Here is a 27,880-nt window from a genome sequence, read left to right as displayed (position 1 = left end):
GGACACCCGGTTCAGCGCCCGAGCCTGCGCGCGCGTCTCCGCTCGTCGCCCGGCTCGGCGTCGGGAGTGCACTCTGTGTGGCCGCTGCTGCAGTGTTGTTGTGGTTGTGAGAAGGCGGCGGCGGCGGCGGAGTAGCAGCCGGACCAGACGCCCTAGTAGCTCAGTCGCTGCCCTGCGCCGGGCCTGGCAGGGAGCCTGGTGAGATGGTGGAGGAGGAGGCTGTGCCGTGGCGGGCCTTGCCATGTCCTGCTGCCTGGTAAGAACCCCATCCCCGTCCCCTGTCTCCTCCCGGGGTGAGGAGGAGCTGGAGGAGGGGCCGGCCTCTATGGCCCCGGCCAGGCGGCTGTCACCCTCTGAGGAGGCAGCGCCCGGGGAGGGGCGTCCCGGGCGGCCGCCGCCGCCAGGGGGAGGCGCTGGGAGTGGGAGTGGGAACGGGACCTCAGCGGTCGAGCTCGGCCGGGACCCTAGGTGCGGGGGAGGCGGGGTCCCGGGCTCCGGCTGCCTGCCCAGACCTGGCGGGGATGGGCCCGTGCGGCTCCGGGTGTGGGACGTACCCTGGGAGCGCCCGGGTTATTCCCACTGACTCCCGGGAGGTGGGTGTGCGCCCTTCGCCCCCTGCCTGGTCTGTGGGGATCCATCGTTGCTGGAGACTGGAGGTCGGGGGCCATGGGAGCCCCGGGGCGAACGGTGCGGGCCTGGGTCTTGTGGAAAGGAGGAGCGACCGCCTGAGCGTGCAGCAGGACATCCTCCTGACCTGGTAATAGGTGGGAAGGATGGTTGGGGGCGGTTGGCGTAACTCAGGGAACACTGGTCAGACTGCTCCCCAAACGATTACAGTGTTATTTCTCCGGTAGAAATTTTCCTTGATGTATGGTATTTCCGGACCCATAAGATGATGTCAGTCGTATTTTGGGCTGGAAAAGTTATGTCAAAATTATGGGGTAGATTTTATGGCCACATTAATAGACTCCCCTGGAGTTTGATAATCTCACTTGTGAGTTTTGGACATGAACTACTATTACATATTGATGTTCAAATGTCGTTTCCAGACCGAGGCCTAAATTCTTACTGTTCTAGTATCTTGATATCCACTTTGTTTTCTGACATCTGTTTTTCCACAACCCAAACAAACAAAACAACACCCCCAAACCATATACTTTTGCAGTTGAGGTTCAACTTTCTCTTATGTGAATGGTAATGCCATGAGAGGCCTGGGTTGAATTACAGGAGATGATTTTTTTAAAATGTTAGATGTTTATGATTTGTCCGTGGAGAGGTGGTGGGGGACCATCCCCCTTCAGATTCAGGGCTGTTCAGTAGGACAGGAGACATTGATGGCATGCAGAAAGTCTTCCCTTTATAGGGCCTATGACTTGGGCAGGCTAGAAGAGTTTACAGAATGACACTTTTTTTTTTTTTTTTGAGACGTTATCTCGCTCTGCCGCCCAGGCCGGAGTGCAGTAGTGTGATGTCTGCTCACTGCAACCTCCGCCTCTCGGATTCTAGCAATACTCCCACCTTAGCCTCCCAAGTAGTTGGGATTGCAAGTGTGCGCCACCACGGCTGGCTAATTTTTGTATTTTCAGTAGAGACAGGGATTTCTCCGTGTTGGCTAGGCTGGTCTGGAACTCCTGACCTCAAGTGATCCACCTGCCTCGGCCTTCCAAAGTGTTGGGATTACAGGCGTGAGCCACCACCCCCAGCCAGAATGACACTGTTTTGAGTAACCCAGTATAGTATGTGATATTAAACTAAATTTGGAGGATTCTAGAATTCTAGATTGGCTGCCTATGACGACAGACCTCTTTTGGCTGCAATTACTCCCTCAGTTTCAGGTGACTCAGAGAACTTCAAGTGACCAGCACAGTGGTACAGCCCCACTTGTCGTTAATGGCCTGCCATAAAAGAACCCAAGTTTCTCAGCTCATAGGCCAGGTTCTTCAGTGGTTGTCTAGTTTAAGGCTGGTCATTAGCAATATTATGGACTACCTAAGTTCCTCGAACTTATGCAGGACCTAATGAATTAAAATCTCTGAGGATAGGGCCTGGGAATCCATCCTTACAAAGCTCCCTGATTGATTGTGGTCAGCAAGGCATGTGAACTTTTGCTTTAGGTTGGGTATTCCAAAGAATTCCCATTAATTATGGCTTCCCAGGGTGCTTTTGTTTATAGCTTTTTAAGAATTTAAGAAGTGGAGAAGGGGAAGCATGAGAAACTTAAAGGATGCAAATTGAGCATCTCTTAAAATATAATGGATTTGTGTAGGTGAAACAGATTTGCTGCCAAAAGTTAATTTGTGCACAAGTTATCAGGAACACACTTGATAAAATTAGATGCTGATTAATTGGAGATACATTGTATCCAGAGATACACAAGAATCCAGAGGAAATAAACAGAGAAGGAGAGGAAGTAAGTCAGCTTCTGGCTCATAAAGGGGTCCACTGAAGATGCTCCCTAACATGGTTGCTCCTAAACCATCTGACTCAGATTTCTAGTGGAGGGTAGGATGGGTGTGTTAGCAGTCATTTGAGATCAGGGTTGTGAACCAGGAAGGGTTACTACAGATTGTGAAAAGTTCTTGAAATTTACCGCAGGCCATGAGGAGTGGTAAAGTCAGTTTAAAAATCTGCTGTAGTTCTAGTTAACACGTTCACACCTTCTTTAGTGAAGTAGAATGCTGAGTTACCAAAGGACGTATTCACGTTTTAGAGGGGGTGTGGTGAAGGTTATTATAAGTTTGGAAGAGGTGGAAGAAAATGTTGTTATAGTTGTGTAGAGTAGTGAAGGACTTTGGCAAATATCCTGTCAAATCATGAAGTAGTATTTTTAGAGAGTTGCACCCAGCTGTCCATTAGAAGAGCCAGAGGCCTCGTCTGTTTTGTTCCCTGGTGTCGCCAATACCCAGCACAGTTATCAGCATATTCTATACCCTCAGATTTTTTTTTTTAGTAAGTGAATAGTATTGATATGGAAAAAAGAACAGTTATGGTGGTTTATAGCCATGTTAGTTATTAAAAGCTACTTGATAATTTGCAATGGATTAAAGAGCCAGTTTTTGATCAAGTAGGGCTCTGGATAGGAAAGAAAATAAAAAAAATAAAGAGCCAGCTTTCAGTGCTTGTTGTTTGGAATTTTTGAGATTCCTTTAAGAAATTGTTTTCTAAAGACTGTCGTGAACATTGTTGTGTCCCCTGGTTTTTGAGTCTTAATGTGTCTTAAGTGTTTTAGATGTTAGTGACTTTTTTAAGAGCACATTAAATGCAGAGGTAATATAGAATAATGGGAAGTTCTGGATTGACAGATAGACATATATTCTGATTCCATCTGTGTCATTAATTGCTGTTGGGAATGTCACTTAACTTCTCTGGGCATCAATTTTCTCATCTATACAATTAAGGGCCTATAGTCTTTGACCTCAAGTAGTTTCTCTAGCCTGATTCTGTAAATTTTTAATAAGTTCTAATTATGTTATTTGGTATTCATCTCATATAGGTAGACTAACCTTTGCCATTTAAAAGAAACAAGATTCTGTGTTGGGTTCTGCTTTTAGCTTATGGATTTTAGACATTGTCCAAAAGTGCTTCGGAAATTGAATGTATGTTGCAAGTATTATGTAGTAAGAACATGCTTATGCTGTTGTAATTCGCTTAGTGTTGAAATCAAATCAGGTTTTACATTGGGAACTTCATAATTTAGTGTGAAGCCACAAGACTTGAGAATGATTTGGGGGAGTATGTGCAATTTATATAGCTAGTTGTTTCTTACCACCCAATTCTGTAATTTTCTATGGTGAATATATACATAAATTTATAATCATGTAACATTGATTGAAGATATAAGATGATATCAGATTCATATTGGATTGAACTAGGACTGCCAGTAACTTTAGAGGCCTCCAAAATTATTAACATGTCATTGCTATATTTAATCTTAATTTTTTGGTATCATCAATATTGATATCATGCTTTCACCTTTGCTTTTGTATCTAGAAACAATATACTTTTTAAGTTCATACTTGTATCAGATATTAAAAATGAAAATTGTAGCATAAAAGTGGATAGATGAGTAAATCTTGGGTTCAAGCCTGCGTTGTATTCTTCATTAGCCGTGTTGTTTCTGGCAAGCCACGTAACCCCTCTGAGCTCCAATTCCTTCATTAGTGAAAGGAAGAAGAGCAGCTTCTCTACTTTTCTAACAGACTGCCAGGGGGAGAATGCAACGGAATAATGTGTTTGAAAAGTATTCAAAAAATGTAAGGGTCTGGTATTAGAATCCTATTATACTGGAATCCTGTTTTATTTCTTGGAAGAATTGGCTTGTGGAGCAGTAGTAAACCTGGTCCACATTGTCAAGTGCAGAATTTAGCAATATCACTGATAAGGCAACAGAAAAGGTTTCTGCTTCTGTAGTCTGGCTGGAGAAACCTTTCAGCAAATGTATCCTGTCTGCCAGTTGGAATAATCACAATGTTGCAGGGACTTCAGAGGAACCTGGGGTGTCTCACATTTATGCCAAGGTCTGTACTTAGAATAGACTTGCTAGATTTTACCCATTTTCTTATGTTGGAGTCGTGGGAGAAGGTGGTAGGAGCAAGGAGTTTAGCACACTCTGCATAAAGTTTTAAGGCTACATTTTTAAGTAGCAGGTGGCAGTGTCATAGGGTAATGAAATCAATGTACTTATTTTAAAAAGCATTTTAAAAAAGAATATATCAGTACATTGTGTAAAGTAAAAGTAAATATTGATTTGGGAAACTTTTCTTTCTTTTTAAAAGATATGTTTATGTATGTATACTTGGTTGCCGTGTAAAATGTATTTTTTCTTTTTAAAAATTATTATTTTCATTTTTTGTAGAGACAGGGTTTTGCTACATTGCCCAGGCTGGTCTTGAACTCCTGGGCTTGAGTAGTCCTGCCTTGGTCTCCCAAAGTGCTGGGATTATAGACATGAGCCACTGCACCTGGCCTAGAAAGTTATTTTTTCTTTTGGGTCGTGATAAAACTTGGTCGTAGTTGTTTAGGGACATAGTACTTGTGCAATGCCGATAGAAAGACTGTCTATAAAATAATAAGGCATGAAACAAATGAAAACAAAGAGAAAATTGTGAAGATGGGTTACCTTAAAGCTATTCTGTTAGCGGTGAAATACCTCATAGCTTTGTTCTAAATTGTTGAATTAATGAACAAAGCACATAAACTTATGCTATAATAATCTTCTTAAGTACTCTTTTCCCTTAAGATGGAGTGTGGAGTACTTGTTAACCACACAGGTATTGTCTTGATCTGATAACTATAGATATTCAGAATGATTCTGTTATGACAGATGGTAGCAAGCTTTTCTGATTTCACTTATCTGGGGTCTAAATCTAATTTCTTTAGTAGTTAATACATATATATATATTTTTTGAGACAGAGTCTTGCTCTGTCACCCAGACTGGAGTGCAATGGCATGATCTCGCCTCACTGCAACCTCCGCCTCCCAGGTTCAAGTGATTCTCCCTGCCTCAGCCTCCCGAAGTAGTTAATACTTTTGTAACTTAGTTGCAGAAGAGAGATAGAAATTTCTGAATAATTTTCAGAATTATTCATAGATTTATAATCTGGCAGAATATAAGGAAGTTATAAGTATATTGATAAATCATGACATAACTGGCAAGAATTGGTATAAAGACAAGATGGTTAACTTGAAACAGGGTTGTTGTTTATTATATGCCTATCATTTTTCCATGAGATAAACCAAATATTAGATTAAGTATTTAGACTGATCCACAAATGACATGGGAAGACAGAGTGTTTACAAAGAGTTTTAGAAGTGATACAGGACAATAATTTGGAGTTTTAACTTAATCTCATTTTAAATTTCAAAGTGAAATTATTTCTGATTATGAAAGCTACAGAACTTTTTTTTAGATGGAGTCTCATTGTGTCACCCAGGCTGGAGTGCAGTGGCGTTTTCTCAGCTCACTGCAACCTCTGCCTCCTGGGTTCCAGCAATTCTGCTGCCTCAGCCTCCCGAGTAGCTGGGATTACAGGTACCCACCACCATACCTGGCTAATTTTTGTATTTTTAGTAGAGACAGGGTTTCACCATGTTGGCCAGGCTGGTTTCTAACTCCTGACCTCAGGTGATTCACCTGCCTTGGCCTCCTAAAGTGCTAGGATTACAGGCGTGAGCCAATGCATCTGGCCCAGAACAGTTTTAATGTTTTTCTTTTTTAAAAAAAGTAGAGATAACCTGTAATCCCATCTGGATGTGATGTTTGGTGTTTTCATTTTTTTTCTTATGCATACCTATTGAAATACCTTAAAAAAGAACAACTTTCCATGTAAAATTGATATTCCCTCAATGAGTAAATGAGTATTTAGTGTTCTATAATATGGATGCATCATAGTTTATAGCAGTTCTGTGTTGTTAATGGATATTGCCAATTTTTCTCTTAAAGTAGTACTGTGATGAACTTGTTTGGGCATTGAATTGTCCTATTATTTCCTTAGGATAATTTTTTTTTTTTTGAGACAGAGTCACTCTGTCACCCAGGCTGGAGTGCAGTGGTATGATCTTGGCTCACTGCAGCCTCTGCCTCCCAGGTTCAAGTGATTCTCCTGCCTCAGCCTCCTGAGTAGCTGGGAGTACAGCCGTGCACCGCCACGCCCAGCTAATTTTTTGCATTTTCAGTAGAGATGGGGTTTTACCATGTTGGCCAGGCTGGTCTCGATCTCCTGACCTCGTGATCCGGCCGTCTTGGCCTCCCAAAGTGCTAGAATTACAGGCCTGAGCCACCGCGCCTGGCCCAGGATAAATTCTTAAAAGCGGATTTATTAGCCAGGCATGGTGGCTCATGCCTGTAATCCCAGCACTTTGGGAGGCCAAGGCGGGTGGGTGGATCACCTGAGGTCAGCAGTTCAAGACCAGCCTGGCCAAAATGGTGAAACCCCATCTCTACTAAAATACAAAAATTAGTCTGGTGTGGTGGCGAGGGTCTATAATTCCAGCTACTTGGAAGGCTGATGCACAGAGAATCACTTGAACCCAGGAGGCGGAGGCTGCAGTGAGCCGAGATTAAGCTACTGCACTCCAGCCTGGGCGACAGAGTGAGACTCATTCTAAAAAAAAAAAAAAAAAAAAAAAAAAGGGCTTATTAGGTCAAAGGGTATGTGTGTTTTAAATGTGGATATACTCAAGATGCCCTTTAGATAGGATGTCTATTTGAAATTCCCGTCAACAGCATATTAGTATTCAATTCCATATATTCTTGCTAGTGATTTGTCATCTTTAGCTTGTTGGGAGTTCAAAATAGTTTGAAACAGTTTTTCTTCTGTTTCTTTTTCAGCATCAGGACTTACTTCCATAGCTTAACTCTTGGGAGGGAGCTGATAAAAATGAAAGTTCAGTGACAATGAGTCGTGTAGACCAGTGGTCTCCAAACTTTCGTTGCTTACCCCATCACCAAAAACTTTTGAGCATTAAGCAGGTGTGGTACGTGGTCCTGTGGTCCCAGCTACGTAGTTGGCTTAGGCAGGAGGATATTTGAGGTCAGGAGTTCAAGGCTAAAGTTCACTGTGATTGTGCTTATGAATACCGCCGCTGTACTCCAGCCTGGGCAACATAGTGAGACCCTGTCTCTTTAAAAAAAAAACAAAAAACTGATGGGATGGGAAGAATGAAGTCAGGAAAAAAAATTGATACAACTTCATGTTGTTGCTTTGAAAAAAGAGAAAAAGAAAAATATTGAGCATCAGTTCTTAATCCTTAGATATTTAATTTACAAGTAATAAACATATAGTAACTGATTATTGTGGACTTTAAAATACAAACAAAAAATTAACAAGGATGATAATTAAAAATAAAGTTCAAATATTTTCCTTTTTTACCCTGGGGCTTCTTGGGTACTCCTGGAGGTGTGTGTGTGTGCAGGCATGTGTATATGTGTGTGTGTGTATATGTATAATATATATGTATATATAATAATATATGATCTATATACATATTTTTGAGACAAGAGTCTTGCTCTGTTACCCAGACTGGTGTGCAGTGGTGTAATCTTGGCTCACTACAACCTCCGCCTCCTGGGTTCAAGTGATTCTTGTGCCTCAGCCACTTGAGCAGTTGGGATTACAGGTGTCTGCCACCATGCCTGGTTAATTTTTGTATTCTTTGGTAGAGATGGGTTTTCACCATGTTGGTCAGGCTGGTCTTGAACTCCTGGGCTCAAGTGATCCGCCAGCCTCAGCCTCCCAAAGTGCTGGGATTCCAGGTGTGAGCCACCATGCCCGATCTCCTGGAGGTATGTTATACTTGCTTTGGATACTACTGCTTTAGACCCTTGAGGTTTAATATTGGGCATTTATAGATGTTTGTTTTTGGGCATTTCACTAGTTTTGCAGGTGGTCCTGTTTAGTTGGATTATGAATGCCTTTAAAATGTCCCATGCTAGGCCGGGCATGGTGGCTCACGCCAGTAATCCCAGCACTTTGGGAGACCGAGGCGGGTGGATCATGAAGTCAGGAGATTGAGACCATCCTGGCTAACACGGTGAAACCCCATCTCTACAAAACTACAAAAAGCTAGCTGGGCGTGGTGGCACACGCCTGTAGTTCCAGCTACGCGGGAGGCTGAGGCAGGATAATCTCTTGAACCCAGGAGGTGGAGGTTGCAGTGAGCCGAGATTGCACCACGGCACTCCAACGTCTGTGACAGAGCGAGACTCCATCTCAAAAAAAAAAAAAAAAAGAAACTCCCCATGCTCTTTAGAGTCGTATCTGCAATAAGGGCAAAAATAAATTTAAAGCATCAGTTTGATACTTTTTTGCATCGTTGAGGTGGCTGAATTTGAAAAGGATAAATCGTAGGATAAAAAGCAATGTAAATAGTCTATTTCTTTTAGATACAAACAGTTGATACTGTGTAGAGCATATTTTTTAAAATTATGTTTTTTGGAAAGCAATTTGGCTATAATATATATCTCCCTGTTTTTTAAGAGGTTAGGTGTTAGAGACTGAGTGAAGGGAAGAATAATTGCTACTTGCTCTCCTTTGCTTTCAAAGTACCACAATTAACCTGTCACTAACTATTTGGATTAGCCTGAGCCTATAACAAACTTTCCATGGTGATTCTTAGATTAAAAGATAATTTTTTTCTTGAGTTTGAATAAGTTGCTTTTGATCTGTGGCTGCCTGCCCCCTAACCCCTATAAATTATGAAATCAGGAAATAAAGCTTTTTGTATTAGAAAAAAGTGAATCTTTTCTCCCCCATCATGGGAAAATTAATTTCAGTTACTTCATATGGGTCATTGGCAGAGAAAGATAATATCAAAATCTTAGAGACTGTCAAAAGAGATTATATTAAGCAACTTGAGTGATTATTTTTTGCCAGTTAAAAGAAATGAGGGGCCGGGCGCGGTGGCTCACACCTGCCATCCCAGCACTTTGGGAGGCCAAGGTGGGCGGATCACAAGGTCAGGAGATCGAGACCATCCTGGCTAACACAGTTGAAACCCCATCTCTACTAAAAATACAAAAAATTAGCCAGTCGTGGTGGTGGGTGCCTGTAGTCCCAGCTACTTAGGAGGCTGAGGCAGGAGAATGGCCTAAACCCCAGAGGCAGAGGTGGCAGTGAGCCGAGATCACGCCACTGCACTCCAGCCTGGGTGACAGAGCGAGTCTCCATCTCAAAAAATAAATAAATAAATAAAGATAATTTCTATTGAAGATGATTGCTATAAACAGTGCTTTGCACAAATGGCTACATATCTCTTTTTACTTTAGGTAACATGATTTATAAGCTACTTTCACATATATCTTCTTAGATCATCACAAGGATTTGAGATCATCATTTAATCAGGACTGTTGTGACTTGCTTGAGGCCACATGCCTAGTGTTTGACATCATACTTCAAGAGACAGATTGAAAGTTCTGCAGAAATAGGGACTGGTGGCTGTTCTCTCCCTTACTCCCTAGCAGTTAATACATTGCCTGGTACAGAGTAAGCTATCGATATTTGTGGACTAACTGTTTAAACTCCTGCATATTTATTTATACGTGTAAATAAGTTATAGCATTATAAAATCAACAGTTACGTTTTCCGTAGTTAGATTGTTCCTTCATCTTATGTGCACAGAAACTATTTTTGTGGAAGAGGTCATGAATTTTAGATCAACCTTTCACATATCCCTTTACTGTCTCTTAAGATACTTTCATGGTGACAAAAAACATACTCTTGTTCTAGATCCCTGAGGAATTACCACACTGACTTCCACAATGGTTGAACTAGTTTACAGTCCCACCACCAGTGTAAAAGTGTTCCTGTTTCTCCACATCCTCTCCAGCACCTGTTGTTTCCTGACTTTTTAATGATCGCCATTCTAACTGGTGTGAGATGGTATCTTATTGCGGTTTTGATTTGCATTTCTCTGATGGCCAGTGATGATGAGCATTTTCTCATGTGTCTTTTGGCTGCATAAATGTCTTCTTCTGAGAAGTGTCTGTCCATATCCTTCGCCCACTTTTTGATGGGGTTGTTTGTCTTTTTCTTGTAAATCTGTTTGAGTTCATTGTAGATTCTGGATATTAGCCCTTTGTCAGATGAGTAGATTGCAAAAATTTTCTCCCATTCTGTATGTTGCCTGTTCACTCTGATGGTAGTTTCTTTTGCTGTGCAGAAGCTCTTTAGTTTAATTAGATCCCATTTATTTGACCCAGCAATCCCATTACTGGGTATATACCCAAAGGATTATAAATCATGCTGCTATAAAGACACATGCACACGTATGTTTATTGCGGCACTATTCACAATAGCAAAGACTTGGAACCAATCCAAATGTCCAACAATGATAGACTGGATTAAGAAAATGTGGCACATATACACCATGGAATACTATGCAGCCATAAAAAATGATGAGTTCATGTCCTTTGTACGGACATGGATGAGGCCGGAAACCATCATTCTCAGCAAACTATCGCAAGGACAAAAACAAACACCGCATGTTCTCACTCATAGGTGGGAATTGAACAAAGAGAACACATGGACACAGGAAGGAGAACATCACACACACCAGGGCCTGTTGTGGGGTGGGGGGAGCGGGGAGGGATAGTATTAGGAGATATACCTAATGTTAAATGACGAGTTAATGGGTGCAGCACACCAACATGGCACATGTATACATATGTAACTAACCTGCACGTTGTGTACATGTACCCTAAAACTTAAAGTATAATAATTTTAAAAATACTCTTAATGTCATTCCTTTCACTGTGTGTGTAACTCCTGTGGCAAGACTGTATATTCGTATATATGTATGTATGTATTTGTTTATTTAGTAGGCTGCTATTTATAAAGGAAACATACTCATTAGTTGGTCTTTGCATACATAATGGTTCCCAAAACATGGACTCCATGGTTTGCTGTGAGTGAATGAAGAAAAAGCAGGCATGATTTCCCTCACCTTTGTCATTCTCTCCAGTTTCCTGTACATATGGTTGACTTACTCAGCAGTAAGTGTAACTTCTTTACACTGAAGAAAATTAGTCTTCCAAAGAATTAGTATGCTACTTCCCCCTTGTTCTGCAGTACTTAAAATCCTGTTTGGTAAATGAACTAATACACTTTGATATACAGAAGAGATCCTGGATTGCCATGAATGGAAATATTAGTAGTGATTAATTTCTGTCTCGGTGGGATAATGTGGCTTTTTTGCTTCTTATTCTTCTATAGTTTCCCATTTTTCTACAATGAGCATGTATTACTTTTATAAGTAGGAAAAATTGCTATTTTATTTTTATTTTTTAAGACAGAGTCTCACTCTGTCACCCAGGCTGGAGTGAAATGGTGCGATCTCAGCTCACTATAACCTCTGCCTCCCAAGTTCAAGCGATTCTCATGTCTCAACCTCCCAAGCAGATGAGACTACAGGCACAAGCTGGCCACAGCCAGCTAATTTTTGTATTTTTTAGTAGAGATGGGATTTCACCATGTTGGCCAGGCTGGTCTTGAACTCCTGACCTCAGGTGATCCGCCCATGGCCTTCCAAAGTGCTGGGATTACAGGTCTGAGCCACCACGCTCAGCCAAAAACTGCTATTTTAAAGTCTTTATTTTTCACTGGATGTCTTGTGAAGGTTTAGGTCACAGTCACCATTGAGAAAGTGGGTGGTTAACTGGCTCCAGTTCCTAAGACGAGTGGCAGCTGTAGGAAGTAGTATGGGAGGAATGGGGCAGGTAAGCTTATTTGAACTTTATCATTGTGAACTCTACTATGACTGAAGACATTGTGGGATTTGATCACAGTTAAACACAAGAGGACTGAGCCATCTAGTTTTTCTCTTTTTAATAAGCTGATTGAGAATTATGAAAGATACCTTAAGAAAAATTGGTTTCTATGAACTCTGTAAATGCAGAACTCAGCCTGAACTCCCAAGTTCTGTATCCGTGTATGTGTGTTTGTGTGCTTGTGTGTTGTGGTGTGTTTTAAATATCAAGTGGAGTTGTAGCAACTCAGGTAGGATATGGTTTATATTAATACATCTAATATGAATTGGAAGAGATTTAGGCAAATGATTTTTATTATGACAGTATAGGCTTATTGGAGATTTGGTGTTAATATACAGCTGGGAGTTAAGCCGTTCTACGTTTATATACCCATCTGGTGATATTTTAGGAAGAGCTGTGTCATATATTCTCTAGAGTTTAAGTGATTAGAGCTTGTTGGCTTTTGCTGTTTACTGCACACTTGTAGTGTTTTAAATGCTTCTGTGAATGGAGAACATCATTCAAAAAGGTGAGATTTCTGGGTTAAGACATTCGTTATTGTCTGCCCTTACTTTATTCTTTTAAAGAGTAAGATTAGGCTGAACGCCGTGGCTCATGTCTATAATCCCAGCACTTTGGGAGGCCAAGGTGGACAGATGAGATCAGGAGTTTGAGACCAGCGTGGCCAACATGGCAAAACCCCGTCTCTATTAAAAATACAAAAATTAGCCGGGCGTGGTGGTGGACGTCTGTAATCCCAGCTACTCAGGAGGCTGAGGCAGGAGAATCACTTGACCCCTGGAGGTGGAGGTTGCAGTGAGCCGAGATTTGTGCCACTGCCCTCCAGCCTGGGTGACAGAGGGATACTCTGTCTCAAAAAAAGAAAGTTGAAGAGCAGTTGAGGTAATAAATGTAGGTACTGTTAGGTTGGTACAAAATTAATGGTGGTTTTGGATTACGAATTTTAAATTATTATAACTAGGCCCAAACACATCTTTATCAAAATAGGAAACATTACAATCAACACATTTTTTGCCAATGAGAAATAAGTTTGTTTATTCCTGTAGCGTAAAAATCCATGCTTCGGGATTCGATGAACTCTTGGAAAGCATTTTCTGCATCCTGATGGTTGTGGAAGCATTTTCCCTGCAAAAAATTTTCTAGATGCTTGGAAAAGTGGTAGTCGGTTGGTGAGAGGTCAGTTCAATATGGTGGATGAGGCAAAACTTTGTAGCCCAATTCATTCAACTTTTGAAATGTTGGTTGTGCAACATGTTGTCGGGTGTTGTCGTGGAGAAGAACTGGACCCTTTCTGTGGACCAGTGCCAGCTGCAGGCCTCGCAGTTTTCGGTGCATCTCATCGATTTGCTGAGCATACTTCTCAGATGTATTGGTTTTACTATGATTCAGAAAGCTGTAGCGGATCAGACCAGGAGCAGACCACCAAACAGTGACCCTGACCTCTTTTTGATGAAAGTTTGGCTTCAGGAAGTGCTTTGGAGCATCTTCTCGGTCCAACCACTGAGCTGGTCATCACTGTTGTTGTATAAAATACACTTTTTGTCAAACGTCACAATCCAACTAAGAAATGGTTCGTCGTCGTTATGTAGAATAAGAGAAGACAACACTTCAAAACGACGATTTTTAAAATTTTTGGTCAGCTCATGAGGCACCCACTTATCAAGCTTTTTCACCTTTTGGCAGGGCGTGGTGGCTCACGCCTGTAATCCCAGTACTTTCGGAGGCTGAGGCGGGCAGATCACTTGAGGCCAGGAGTTCACGACCAGCCTGGCCAACATGGTGAAACCCCAGCTCTACTAAAAATACAAAAAGTAATCGGGTGTGGTGGTGGGTGCCTGTAATCCCAGCAACTAGGGAGGCTGAGGCACGAGAATCACTTTAACCCGGGAAGTAGAGGTTACAGTGAGCCCAGATGGTGCCACTGCATTCCAGCCTAGGTGATAGAGTGAGACTCCATCTCAAAAAAAAAAAAAAAAAAAAAAAAAAAAAGAAGCTTTTGCACCTTTCCAACTTGCTTAAATTGCCAAACAAGCGTAGAATGGTTGACATTGAGTTCTTCGGTAATTTCTCGTGTAGTTGTAAGAGGATCAGCTTCGATGATTGCTCTCAATTGGTCAGTGCCAACTTCTTCTGGCCGGCTACTACACTCCTCATCTTCAAGGCTCTCGTCTCCTTTGCAACACTTCTTGAACCACCATTGCACAGTTCCTGGGCCAAGTGTGTAGTTGATGTTGCGAGTTGTCTCCACTGCTTTGCGACCCATTTTGAACTCAAGAAAATCGCTTGAATTTGCTTTTTTTTATAATATAATTTCCACTGTCTAACAGAATAAAACAGCAAATAATATGTTATTAGCAAAAAAGGTGAGAAATGTGCATTAAAATGGTATATAAATAACCACATATATTTAAGAATGTATTCCAGTATCAAATAGCAAGTTTCAACAATACGAAAACTGCAACTACATTTGCACCAACCTAATATAATTTTTTTTTAGTTAGAAATTTTATAGTACAGAATAACAGGCTTATCACACACACACACACACATCCTGTACTGAATCTACAAAGCCTGTCTCTGAATTCCAAAATCTCGACTTTTTTAGAGCAAAGTTTAAATATTTCAAAAATTTAGAAAAATATGGAGAATAATTTAACAAACACCAGGTACTAATTCAGTAGATTTTTTTTCTTTTTTCCTTTCCTTTTTTTTTTTTTTTTTTGAGATGGAGTCTCGCTCTGTCGCTCAGGCTGGAGTGCACTGGTGCAATTTCAGCTCACTGCAACCTCTGCCTCCTGGGTTCAAGTGATTCTCCTGTCTCAGCCTCCTGAGTAGCTGGGATTACAGGCACACGCCACCACACCCAGCTAATTTTTGTATTTTTAGTAGAGACTGGGTTTCACCATGTTGGCCAGGATGGTCTCTTATCTCTTCACTTCGTGATCTGCCCACCTTGGCCTCCCAAAGTGTTGGTATTACAGGCGTGAGCCACCGCACCCAGCCCATTCAGTAGATTTCATAGATGCTGACATCTTATCAGATTTGCTTCAAAAGTGTATTTATATATGTTTTTATTTATTATTTTTGAGATGGGGTCTCACTCTGTTGCCCAGCCTGGTGTATAGTGGTAAAATCCCTGCTCACTGCAACCGCCACCTCCCAAGTTCAAGCAATTCTCGTGCCTTGGCCTTTTGAGTAGCTGGGATTATAGGAGCTTGTCACTACTCCCGGCTAATTTTTGTATTTTTAGTAGAGACGGGGTTTCACTATGTTGTCCAGGCTGGTCTCCAACCGACCTCAAGTGATCTGCCCGTCTTGGCCCCCTAAAATACTGGGATTACAGGGGTGAGCCACTGTGCCTGGCCTAAATTTGTTTTTAAAAATAAAATATGCATACGGTTGGAGTCCCTTTTGTCATCCTCTTAGATCCTATTTTCTTATGCAGAAGTTATTTATCTTTTTAGCTCATGCACTTATATTCTTCCTACAAATATCTACATATATTTAACATGTAGTACTATTGTGTTTCAAATTTATGTGATATTTTGGTACATACATTCTGTAATTGGAAAGTTACATTTATTTATGCTGATATATGTGTATTATTAGTAGTATTATTATTATGATTATTTTGAAACAGAGTCTTACTCTGTCACCCAGGTTGTAGAGCAGTGGCACAATCTTGGCTCACGGCAACCTCCATCTCCCAGTTTCAAGTGATTCTCGAGCCTCAGCCTCCCGAGTAGCTGGGATTACAAGTGTGAGCCACTGCACCTGCCTTACTTCATTAATTTTAATAGCTGTGTAGTATTCAGTCATATGAATGAATAGTATGCAATTTTAGTTCTTTATTGATAGTTGTTTTCAACAAATATACAAATGTAAAATTTTTCCTCAAATTGGGTCAAGCTATATATATTGTTCTAAATTAGCTCTGTTTCTCGCAATAATAATAGTGTGCAGGTTTGTTACATGGGTATATTGCATGAGGTTTGGGGTACAATTGATCCCATCACCCAGGTAGTAAGCATAGCACCCAGCACGTAGTTTTGTTTAAGTTTTTTGAGACAAGGTAGGTCTCTGTCCCCCAGGCTGGATTGCAATATTGCAATCACTGGTCACTGCAGTTTTGACCTCTTGGGCTCAGCCGATCCTCCCAGCTCAGCCTCCGGGGTAGCTGGGACTACAGTGGTGGGCCACCATACCCTGCTATTTTTTGTATTTTTTTGTAGAGACTGGGTTTCGCCCTGTTACCCAGGCTGGTCTCGAACTCCTGGACTCAAGCAATCCACCCACCTTGGCCTCCCAAAGTGCTGGGATTATAGGCGTGAGCTACTGTACCCAGCCGCCAGTAGGCAGTTTTGAGCTTTCGCCCCTTCCCATCCTCTCCTCTCTGTTAGTTCCCTGTATCTATTGTTCCCATGTTTATGTCCATGTTTACCCAATGTTTAGCTTAGGATGATGATCTCCAGCTGCATCATGTTGCTGCAAAGGATATGATTTTGTTCTTTTTTATGGCTGCAGTGAACCTTTGGGTAAAGAAAATTTACAAAAATATCTCACATCAGTGTTTTTTTAATCAAAGTAAGTAGTAGTAATCCATAGTTCAGATCTACTTTGTAAGTGAGACACAAATAAAGACAGTAGTTACATTACACATTTTATAACATTACCTTGATGTGGCAAATTTTTCTTGTTTTGTTTTTGTTTTACATGAGTTAATTTGGATGAAACTTTCTTGAATTACTTACTTTTATAGCATTTACCTCCAGTGGGGTTGAGATGAGGAGCCTTCAATCCAACAAAGTTGTATACATGCATTCATGGAGATGACACTTAGGTTATTTAATCAGGAAACACTCCTGCTTGTCCACATGTAGATGCTACACGTGGAGTTAGTCCTATTCTTTGGAAGTTTCACTATGTTGCCCACACTGGTCTTGAACTCCTGAGCTCCAGTGATCCTCCCACCTTGGCCTCCCAGAGTGCTGGGGTTATAGATGTGAGCCACTGTGCCCAGCCAGAAATGTGATTTTAATTCCATAATATATGTTACTGTGAATACAGTATATGTTTATTCCATAAGTAGCAAATTGACTCCTTTAACAGTTTTAGTAGTTTTCCAGTTGTTTTGTCTTTAGTTTCCCAGGCAAATAATGCTATTGTCTTCAATCACAGTATTAATTAGTTCATCCCATTCTTCATATTGATCATTTTTTTGGATATGAAATAATACAGACTACTGTAATAATAAAAAGATGGAAAGCCTCACCAATTTGCATGTCATCCTTGTGCAGGGACCACGCTAATGTTCTCTGTATTGTTCCAATTTTAGTATATTTGCTGCCGAAGCGAGCACTCCATTTCTGTAAAGCTTAAAAAACAGACAAAACTAACAGATGGGAATGGAATCAGAATAATGGTTATCTTTGGTGATGAGGACAAGGGAGATTGTAGGTGTGCTGGTAATGTTCTCTGTCTTGATCTGGGTCATGATTTCATGGATGTGTTCAGTTTATGAGAATCATTGAATAGTAGACTTAGGAAGTGTGCACTTCTTTGTACATGTATTATATACCTCAGTTAAAAACTTTTGCCTCTCACAAAATTTTAAAGAACATAATCTGCTTAGTTTGTCACCTTTTAGCTTTTAATGTAACTTTTCCACTACTTCTCTTCATATGTGAATACAAGTGTATGTATTCATATGTGAATACAAGTGAATACTAGTGTATTAGGTAATAAGCCACTTAACCTTTCTATTATGATATAAAACATACAGAAGAGTGCACAAATCAAATGTATAGCTTAATGAAATTTTTAAATTATTAAATTGGAGGTTTTTGGGGGTGCATTATACCCGTATCTTTGTTAGGAGGGAAGGAATTCATGGAGGGCTAAAAATTTTGGAGAGGACAAAGTTTTAAGGAGTCTCAATACCAAATCCTCATCTTGGCTCTGCCTTCAAGTTACTGTTTCTTTGGGTAAGTCATTTAACTTATTTATAGTTCACTTTTTTATATATAAGAGGTAAAATACTTAACCTTTCTTTTGCAAACTGAATTAGGTAGGTGCAATTCAGGTAAAATAATAGGAATATAGAGTAGTATTACTAGATAGGTCTTTATTTAGGCCATTGAATTTAGGCCACTTACCTTACAGGGCAGAATTGTGGTATGCAAAGACTACACAGCTGGTGATTATTGGTGTCATTCATTTATGTTAGGTTGGTATTGAGACTTAGTTAACTATGCCAGGCATTACCCTGTGATTTATTATAATACATGTATTAACTCATGTAATAGTCTAGGATTATTCCTAGAGGTAGGTAAAATTATCCCAATTTTACTGATGATACAATCGATGGAAAATTAGGTTAAATAACTTGCCTAGGTGGGTTGAGTTCTTGAGCCTGTGCTTTAAAAAAAAATTTTTTTTTGAGAAAGGGTCCCACTCTATCACCCAGAGTGGAGTGAGTGGCGTGATCTTGGCTCACTGCAGCCTCTGTCTCTAAGGCTCAAGCCATCCTCCTGCCTCATCCCCTGAAGTAGCTGGGACTACAGGTATGGGCCACGTTTTAATGTATTTTATAGAGACGGGGTTTTGCCACATTTCCCAGACTGGTCTCAAACTGCTGGACTCAAGCGATCTGCCTTGGCCTCCCAAAATGCTAGGATTACAGGTGTGAGCCACTGCATCCAGCCTAAGCCTGTGCTCTTTTTTTGTTATACTGCCTAGTTATGTGAAAATACTTAAAGACTTTTAGGCAAATGTTAAGATTTTATAATAATCTGTTAGAGAGTTTTTGAAGTAAAAATTTTGGTATTTTGAACCAAAATTAGGAGAAGAGTCTCATTGTTTTGACCATCATGATTCTGGAAAAGATGGATGTTAATATTTATTACTTGGGCTTTATTCCCTTCTTAACAAAGCTAATTTTCTCCTAAAATGACTTGGTTGCAAGCACTAGGTAGTTTTCTTTAAGAATATATGTATATTTTAATCTTAAAGGATTTTGTGACTAATTTACAAATATTGTTTAATTTTTAGGCAAAATGTTAATGGAAGGGAGTTTTCAAACTTGGAGGCAGATCAGACCAAGGTTTAGTGTTCTTGCCTCAGTGGTTTAAGCAGCATCTATTTGGTCTTAGTATAAGAGTAATAATTATGATTCTATCATATGTATGGTTGAAAATTATCTTTATTAAGGTGTATTTGAATATGGTTCTGTAAGACTGGGAAACACATCTAGTTGTGCAACCACCATGATGATCAAGATATAGAGTTAGTTTCTCAAAAAATTTCCTCATGCCCCTTTCCATAGTCAGCCCATTTCCTTACCTCTAGTCTCTGGCCACCACTGATCTGTTTTTTTCTCTGTCTTGTCTTTTTTTTTTTTTCTTTTCAGAATTCCGTGTAAACAAAATCACGCAGTATTTAGCCTTTTTGTTTTAATTTTTGTTTGTTTAATAGAAATGGGAGGCCTTGTTATATTGCCTATGCTGGCCTCAAGCTCCTGGTCTCAAGGGATCCCCCTGCTTGACTCAGTATGTGGCTTCTTGAGACGGACGTCTTTTATTTAACCTAATGTATTTTGAGATTCATCCATGTTTTTATGTATCAGTAATTACTTTCTGTTGCTTAGTAGCATTGCGTTGTATGGATATACAACAGGTTCTGTATTCATTCCCCAGTTCATTTGGGTTGTTTCCAGTTTTTGGTAATTACAAATAAAACTGCCATAAAAGCATTCATGCATACATACATACACACATGTGCCCTCGTATTTTCTTATGGTTTAAAAAGATATGGTGCCTAGAACTTTTATAACTTTACTACAGAACCTGAAAAAGCTGATGATTTTCACAGAACATTGTAAATTGCTTAGTAAACTTCATCCCCCAAAAAGCCCACTCTGGAATGAGAATAATCTGTTTGTATAAATAATCTTGTGGTATAAACTGTAAGTCATTAGAATTTTTTAAATTAAAGAAGTACATACACATATTTATTTAATGGGTAAATTTATATATAAAACTCCTTAGTGCATAGTTTTATATTTTATGTTTTTAGTAGCTTTTAAATCGTGAATTATTGACTTTTTTGTTCCTCTAAGTAGTAGAATGGTTATATAATTGGTTATGAAAGTTTTTGTTTTTTTTTTGACAGGGTCTGGCTATGTCGTCCAGGCTGGAGTGCAGTGGCGTGATCTCGGCTCACTGTAACCTCTGCCTTCTGGGCTTAAGCTATCCTCAACTTCAGCCTCCTGAGTAGGTGGGACTACAGGCATGTGCCACCACACCTGGCTAATTTTTGTAAACACGGGGTTTTATCTTGTTGCCCAGGCTGGTCTCAAACTCCTGAGCTCAAATGATCAGCCCACTTCAGTCTCCCAAAAGGCTGGGATTACAGGTGTGAGCCACCATGCCCACCCAAAAACTCTTATAAATTTGAGATGAAAAATACACGGAACATGATTAATAGCAGATTAAACATTGCCAAATACAAGACATAGCAATAAAAACTATCCAAAAGGAAATAGAGTAAAAGGATTTTAAGAAACTAAACTGTAGAACACCTTCAAGCAGCCAATAATACATGTAATTTGAGTCCTAGAAGGACTGAAAAGAGGAGGGACAGAAAAAATAATACAAAAAAATGGCCAAAATGTTTTCAAATTTGATATAAACTATAAATCTCTTATCCAAGAAACTCAGTAAAGCCCACCTATAAGAAATATGAAGAACTCCACAAAGGTTCATAGTAATCAAAGTATTGAACCCTAGTGATACAGACATAGAGGGATGGGACACACCATACATAAAGATTAACAAAGGATGCTGCCAGAGTTCTCATCACAGATACCAGAATCTGGGAGGATATAGAAAAAATATTTTAAATTCTAAAAGAGGACATACTGTTAACTCTGAATTCTGTAACCAGTGTAAATAACTTTCCAAAATGAAGGGGAAATAAAGATATATCCAGGCAGAAAAAAACTGTAAGAACGTATCACCAGCAGACCTGCTGCACAGGAAATAAAATAGGAACTCCTCAGGCAGAAGAAAGATGATATCAGATGGAAATATTGATCTGTAATAAAGGATGAAGAGCTCTGGAAAGTAACTGTATAGGAAGATGTATAAGACCCCTCCATTAAAAAATCTTGAAATAATAATTGAATTTTATACAGAAATAACAACAGTGTTTTGTGTAGTTTGTAATTTATGTGTAAGTGAAATGCAGGACAACAATAGCGAAAGGCCAGGAAAGGAAAAATGAAAGCATGTTACTGGAAGGTTCTTACACCACACATGAAGTAAGATAACATGTGAAAGTAGGCTGCAGTAACTTAGAGTTGTAAAGCAACCACTGAAATAACAAAACAAAAAGTTTTGTTATCATATAAGCCAACAAAGAAGATGAGATGGAATAACAACAACAACAACAAAATCCAAAACAGGGCACTAAACAGGAAAGGGGAGCAAAGAACAGATGGATTGAGTAAAAGATGAATAACAAGATCACAGGTGTAACATAACCATTTCAAAAATCTTGTTAAATGTTCTAAGCATCCCAATTAAAAGGAGAGATTGTCAGCTTTGATGAAAAAAATGAAGACCCAAGTACATGCTGCCTGTGAGAAAGACATTTTAAATGTAAAGATACAAACATATTAAAAGTAAAAGATTGAAAAAGAGTTACCATGAATCAAATGAAAGCTGGAGTGGCTATATTCATATCAGATAAAGTAGACATCAGATAAGAGAATATCAGGGATGAAGAATGTCGTTTTATAAGGAGAACAGGGTCCGCTTCTCAGGAGGACGTGATAATTCTAAGAATAACAAGCACTACGTATGTCATCACAGAGCTTCAACACAAACGAAACAAACACCAATAGAACTCAAAAGAGAAATAGTTGTCTATTTCTCCACAGTTATAGTTGGGGATTACAATACTCACTATCAATAATTAGTAGAACAAGTAGAAAAAAAATCAGTGAAGATACAGCAGACTTAAAAAAATAAAACTATCAAATAACTTGATTTTATTGATATTTATAAATCAGTCCACCTGACAGTCACATAATATAAACTCTTCTCAAGCAAACACAGAATATTTATCAAGATAGAATACATTCTGTGCCAGAAAGCAAGTCTCAGAATATTTGGAGTGATTTAAGTCCTATGAAGTATGTTCTTGGACCACATTGGAAATAAATTAGAAGTTAATAATAATAACTTTTCTGGAAAAACGTCAAGTATTAAGATGATAAATTACACATGTCTACATATTGCAAGGGCTAAAGAAGATTTCAAAAGAGAAACCAATGCATTTTCAGCTAAGTGAGAGTGAAAACAATATTTCAAAATGTGTGGAATGCTGATAAGGCAATATTTATGTGTAAAATTATGGGATTAAACACTATAGTAGAAAAGAGAATAGATTTTAGATTAATTAACTACCCCAGCTTCTGCCTTAATAATTGGAAAAACAAGAGCAAATTAAACACAAAAAACAATTTTGGAAATACTAGAGATCAGAGTGAACATCAATAAAACAAAAAAAAATAGAGAAAAATCTATGAAACCAAATATTTATAAACTTCCAGCAGGCTGATCATCAAAACAAAAAAGAGACAAATTCCTAATATCAGGTATGAAAGAAACTATATCAGCACAGATTTTGTAAAAATTAAAAATGGAGTAAGGGAATACTGTGTACAGCATTACCTAATAAATTTTGTAACTGAGATGAAATGAGAATTTTTTTGAAAGATACAAATTGCTATAGCTCACTCAAGAAGAATCAGATAATTGAATAACTCTATATTTATTGAAGTAATTGAATTTTAATTAAATGCTCATCCTACAAAGGAAACTCTAACCCCAGATTGCTTCTCTGAAGTTTTTTGTTCAAACCTCTAAGGAAGAAATATTACCAATTATACTTAAACTCTTTCAGAAAATTGAAGAGTAGGAACTAGTTACCAACTTATTTTATAAGGCTAGTATCACCTTGATACCAAAGCTAGACTAAGATATTACAAAAAAACTATAAACAAATATTCTTTTTGAATTTAGATATAAAAGTTCTTTACAAAATGTTAGCAAATCAGTTCCAACAATACATAAAAATTATATTGTACCGTGGACAAATATAATGTATCTCAGAAAGGTTGGTTGGTTGAACATCCTCAAATCAATCAATGTATTGCACCATATTAATAAATGATCATGTCAATAGATGCAGTAAATACATCTGATGAAGTCATATATTTACATTTGGAACATTTAGAAGGGAGCTTCCTCATCCTGATAAAAGGCATCTGTGAAAAATCCTACAGCTAACATCATTGTTAGTAACGAAACACTCAATGCTTTCTTGTTTGTCTTATCAGGAACAAGATGGGATGTTTGCTCTCACCACGCTTACATTTAACATTGTTGTGGAAATCCTAGCCAGACAAGAAGCTGAGATAGAATACGTCCAGGATAGAAAGAAAGAAGCAAAACTGCACACAGACAAAATGAACATCTATGTAGAAAATTCAATATAAAATACAAAAAAAGCTATTAGAACTAATAAATGCGTTTAGCAAGGTTGCAGGATACATGAACAATATACAAAAACCAATTGCATTTTATACTAGCAACAAATAACCAGAAATTGGAATTTTAAAAGCAATGCCATTTAAAGTAGCATCAAAATATATTAAACTCTTAGGAATAAATCTGACAAAAGATGTGCATGACCTGTACACTGAAAACTGTGGAATACTGAGAAACATTAAAGATAACCCAAATACATGGAGAGATACACTGTCTTCATGCCCTGGAAACCAATATTTAGAACATAAATGTTCCCCAAATTGATAGATAGTTTCAACACAATCCTAGTCAAAATTCTAGCAGGATTTTAATATTTTTTGGTAGATATTGACAAGCTGATTCTGAAATTCATAAGAAAATGCAAACGATCTAGAAGAGCCAAAATAACTGAAAAAAGAACAAATTTGATAAATTAACTTTACCTGATTTCAACAATAAAACTATAATATATATGATATGAAATTCAGAACTGTATATACAGATACAAAAATATTTTGTGTATATCCATCTCTATATCTATGTGTCTGTTTATACATTTGCTGATATATATTGCAGGATCCTCTATTCTGTTGCTTTAATATATACAGTATTTCCAACAAGCTGCAAAAGCTGTCAACAAATTGTGCTAGAACCTCAGATAACCATATGCAAAAAAATCAACTTTTATCTATATTTCTTAGCATATATGAGAGTTAATTCAAAATAGGTCATGTAACTAAATGTAAACCTAAAACTAGGAAGTGCCTAAAAGTAAACAATGAAGAAAATCTTTCTGATTTTGGATAAGGCAAACAATTCTTTGATACAACATCAAAGCACAATGTATAAAACTTTTAAAAATGTGATAAAAGTTTGGGGCCAGCCACGTTGATTCATGCCTGTAATCCCCACACTTTGGAAGGCAGAAGCAGGTGGATCACAAGGTCAAGAGATTGAGACCATCCTGACCAACATGGTGAAACCCCTTCTCTACTAAAAATACTAAAATTAGCTGGGCGTGCTGGCTATACGAGCTGGGACCTGTAGTCCCAGCTACTCGGGAGGCTGAGGCAGGAGAATCCCTCGAACCTGGGAGGCGGAGGTTGCAGTGAGCCGAGATCGCACCACTGCACTCCAGCCTGGCGACAGAGTGAGACTCTGTCTCAAAATAAAAATAAAAATAAAAAATTGATAAAATTAAAAATTTCTGTTATTTGAAATTTACTGCTAAGAGAAGTAAACAAGCCACAGATTTGGAGAAAATATTTGCAAATCAGATATGACAAAAAAACCTTGTATCCAGAATGTATGAAGAATTTTAAAAACTCAATAATAAGAAAATAAATAACCCAAATTTTATTTTTTTCAGATGGAGTCTTGCTCTGCTGCCTAGGCTGGTGTGGAATGGCACAATCTCGGCTCACTGTGACCTCAGCTTCCCAGATTCAAGCGATTCTCCCCCCTCAGCCTCCCAATCCCCCACCCCCACCCCTGCGAGTAGCTGGGATTACAGGCACCCGCCATCATGCCTGGCTAATTTTTGTATTTTTGTAGAGACGAGGTTTCACCATGTTGGCCAGGCTGGTCTTGAACTGACCTCAGGTGATCCACCCACCTTGGCCTCCCAAGTGGTGAAATAACAGGTGTGAGCCACCGCTCCCCAACTCAACCCAAATTTTTAAAATGGGCGGAGTATTTGAACAGGTTCCTCAACAAAGAAGATACATGTGGCAAATAAGCGCACAAATGAATGCTCCACACCACTAGTAATTAAGGGAATTCAATTACTACTTACTGGAGGCTAAGAGACCAGTTAGGGGGTTACGGGAGAAATTGTGAATTAAAATTATGTATGATAGTAGCGGTGGGGATGGAGAGGAGAGGATATGAGGAATATTGAGGAGATAAAATTGCAAAAGCTTCACACTTGGTTGGAAGTGGAAGCTGACATGTAAGAGAATCAGCAATGATTCTCAGGTTTCCAACTTGAGCAAAGGGGCGGAGGCCACTGATAGACTCTGAGGTCATAAAACACAAGGTGGAGCAGATCTAGGCGGGTATGGAGGAAGAGATGTGACCATTGAAGTATTTTCTTTGTTGTTGTGTTGTTGGAATATTTCAAGTCAAATCCCTGACATCATGTTGTTCCATCTCTACACATTTGAACATGTATCACTAAAAGTAGGGACACTTTCTCCCATAATCACATTGCTGTGATCGCTCCTGAAGATGTACTCAATGATTCTGATTATCATCCCATACATAGTCCACAGTCATACATACTTGATTATCACAAGTATTTCTCTTTTTGCAGTCTGTCTATTGGAATCAGAATCCTGACAAGGTCCACCCTGCACACCACTTTCTCACAAAGGTCCTCTCATCCTGAGCAGTCCTCCCTGCCACTGATTTGTTGTCCTTCATAATGTCCCACAATCTGCACCTGTCTTTGTTCTCCCTCATGATACTGCTTCACTTCTATGCCCTGAATTTCCTATAATGGGGAAGGAGCTCTAAAGCCTGGTTGTAGGAACACTTCATGAACAGTACTGTGCATGGCACACAATCTCTAGCCATCCCACTTGTCACGCTAAAATCGATGACTCGCTTCTGGTAGTGTCAGCCTGACTCTTTGGACATGCTGAGTAAGCAGAGCGAGAAAGGAAGAGGGCTTCGACCAGAGGAAGAGGAGCAGAGAAAACAGGGAAGGAGAATTCAGGGAAGTGGGGAAAATCGAGGGAGCAGCAGCGTGGGGACTGAAGAAAGAAGGGTCAGGTGTCGCTGGGCAGCCAAGAAGAGACAAACAGGTCAGATGGTTTTCACAACTGATGGCTGATAACTTGTATGAGAGCAGCTTTAATGGAGTGATTAAGGTGTAAGTCAGATTGCCCTGTGATGGAGGTGTGAATAGGGGTGGGAAGTGGAGGGCAAGGAATATCAATAACAATTTCAGGAATTTGGCTGTAAGACAAGGGAAAAAGATGGGAGACGTGAGCATAGGAAGAGGGATGTTGAAAAAAGAGGTTGTGTTTATTCTGTGGCTCTTTTGATGGGAGACACATTCATGCTGGGAGGTTGAATATTTAGGAACCATAAGGAACTATTACTAACAAAGAAAGTTCCAAAAACATTCCTGGTTGGAAGGTTTCACTGTTTTGTTCACTAATTTCATATATTTTTCTAACTCTCTACAATTGCTTTTTGTTGTGAGCTCAACTGGTCTAGGAGACACAGATTTTGAAACGTGATGAAATTATTCAATAAAGCTGGTGTTAGATGCAGGTGTTAGAATGCATTTTTGTCAGACTTGGACCATATGAATTGAAGTTACTCTATCATCTGACTGATGGGCATCACTTGTTTTTGTCTATTTATTTGAACTGTATATATTCCAAAAATTTTTTGATGTAGCTGCTATATGATAAGAATATTGTAATGGGATTCTCCTGGGTTTCTAATCCAAAGTTTGTTTTTTTTAGAAAAATAAATTTGGACTTAGCAGATAAAAATCATGAATACTATATAACGCCATTTGTTAGACATTTTTGAAATGATAAAATTTTAGAAATGGAGGTTACTGATTGCCAGGGGTTAGGAAAGCGGAAGGAGGTGTGAGGGAGGGGGAGTGATTATAAAAGGGCTCTTGAGGGACCCACTGTGGTGCTGGAGCCATTCAGTATATTGACTAGTGGTGGATACATGAATTCACACAGGTGGTAGAATTATACAGACATTAATACACACACAGTGAAAGTAAAACTAGGAAAATCTGCCTAAGGTAAGTAGATGGAGTTACTGTCAATGTCCTTGTTTTGCAAAACATCACCATTGTGAGATCCTATTGAGAATCTGAAACACAGCCTTGGTTATATGCTTTTTTCTTTTTTTACCCTGTAAAAATGTTCCTTTTACCCTGTAAAGTGTTCCTTTTTATACTGGTAAGTATAAAAGGAACAAATTATACTGGTAAGTAAAAATTACTGATAAAGTAACTTTAAACTGAATATGGGAAATAACTGC

At 39.2% G+C, this 27,880-nt stretch overlaps 1 long non-coding RNA gene and 1 other non-coding gene across 3 annotated transcripts; one reads left to right on the top strand and one right to left on the bottom strand.

The window, feature by feature from the left end:
* LOC102723461 (uncharacterized) lies at positions 1 to 27,459 on the top strand. 2 transcript variants are annotated; one of them, XR_951316.4, is made up of 3 exons: positions 1 to 256; positions 18,142 to 18,250; positions 25,230 to 27,459. It is a non-coding gene; the product is annotated as an uncharacterized LOC102723461 (long non-coding RNA). The 2 variants fall into 2 exon arrangements; XR_951317.2 differs by lacking the exon at positions 1 to 256 and adding an exon at positions 1,631 to 2,410 and having other exon boundaries at positions 25,230 to 25,269.
* Positions 17,519 to 17,625, bottom strand: LOC124905326 (U6 spliceosomal RNA). Its single transcript, XR_007068541.1, has one exon. It is a non-coding gene; the product is annotated as a U6 spliceosomal RNA (small nuclear RNA).
* Positions 27,460 to 27,880: the final 421 nt, after the last annotated feature.

The sequence above is a fragment of the Homo sapiens genome (genome assembly GCF_000001405.40).
Source record: "Homo sapiens chromosome 15 unlocalized genomic scaffold, GRCh38.p14 Primary Assembly HSCHR15_RANDOM_CTG1".
Taxonomy (NCBI): Eukaryota; Metazoa; Chordata; class Mammalia; order Primates; family Hominidae; genus Homo; species Homo sapiens.
The sequence above is the reverse complement of the archived record's forward strand: the minus strand, read 5'-3'. Positions and strand labels throughout refer to the sequence as shown.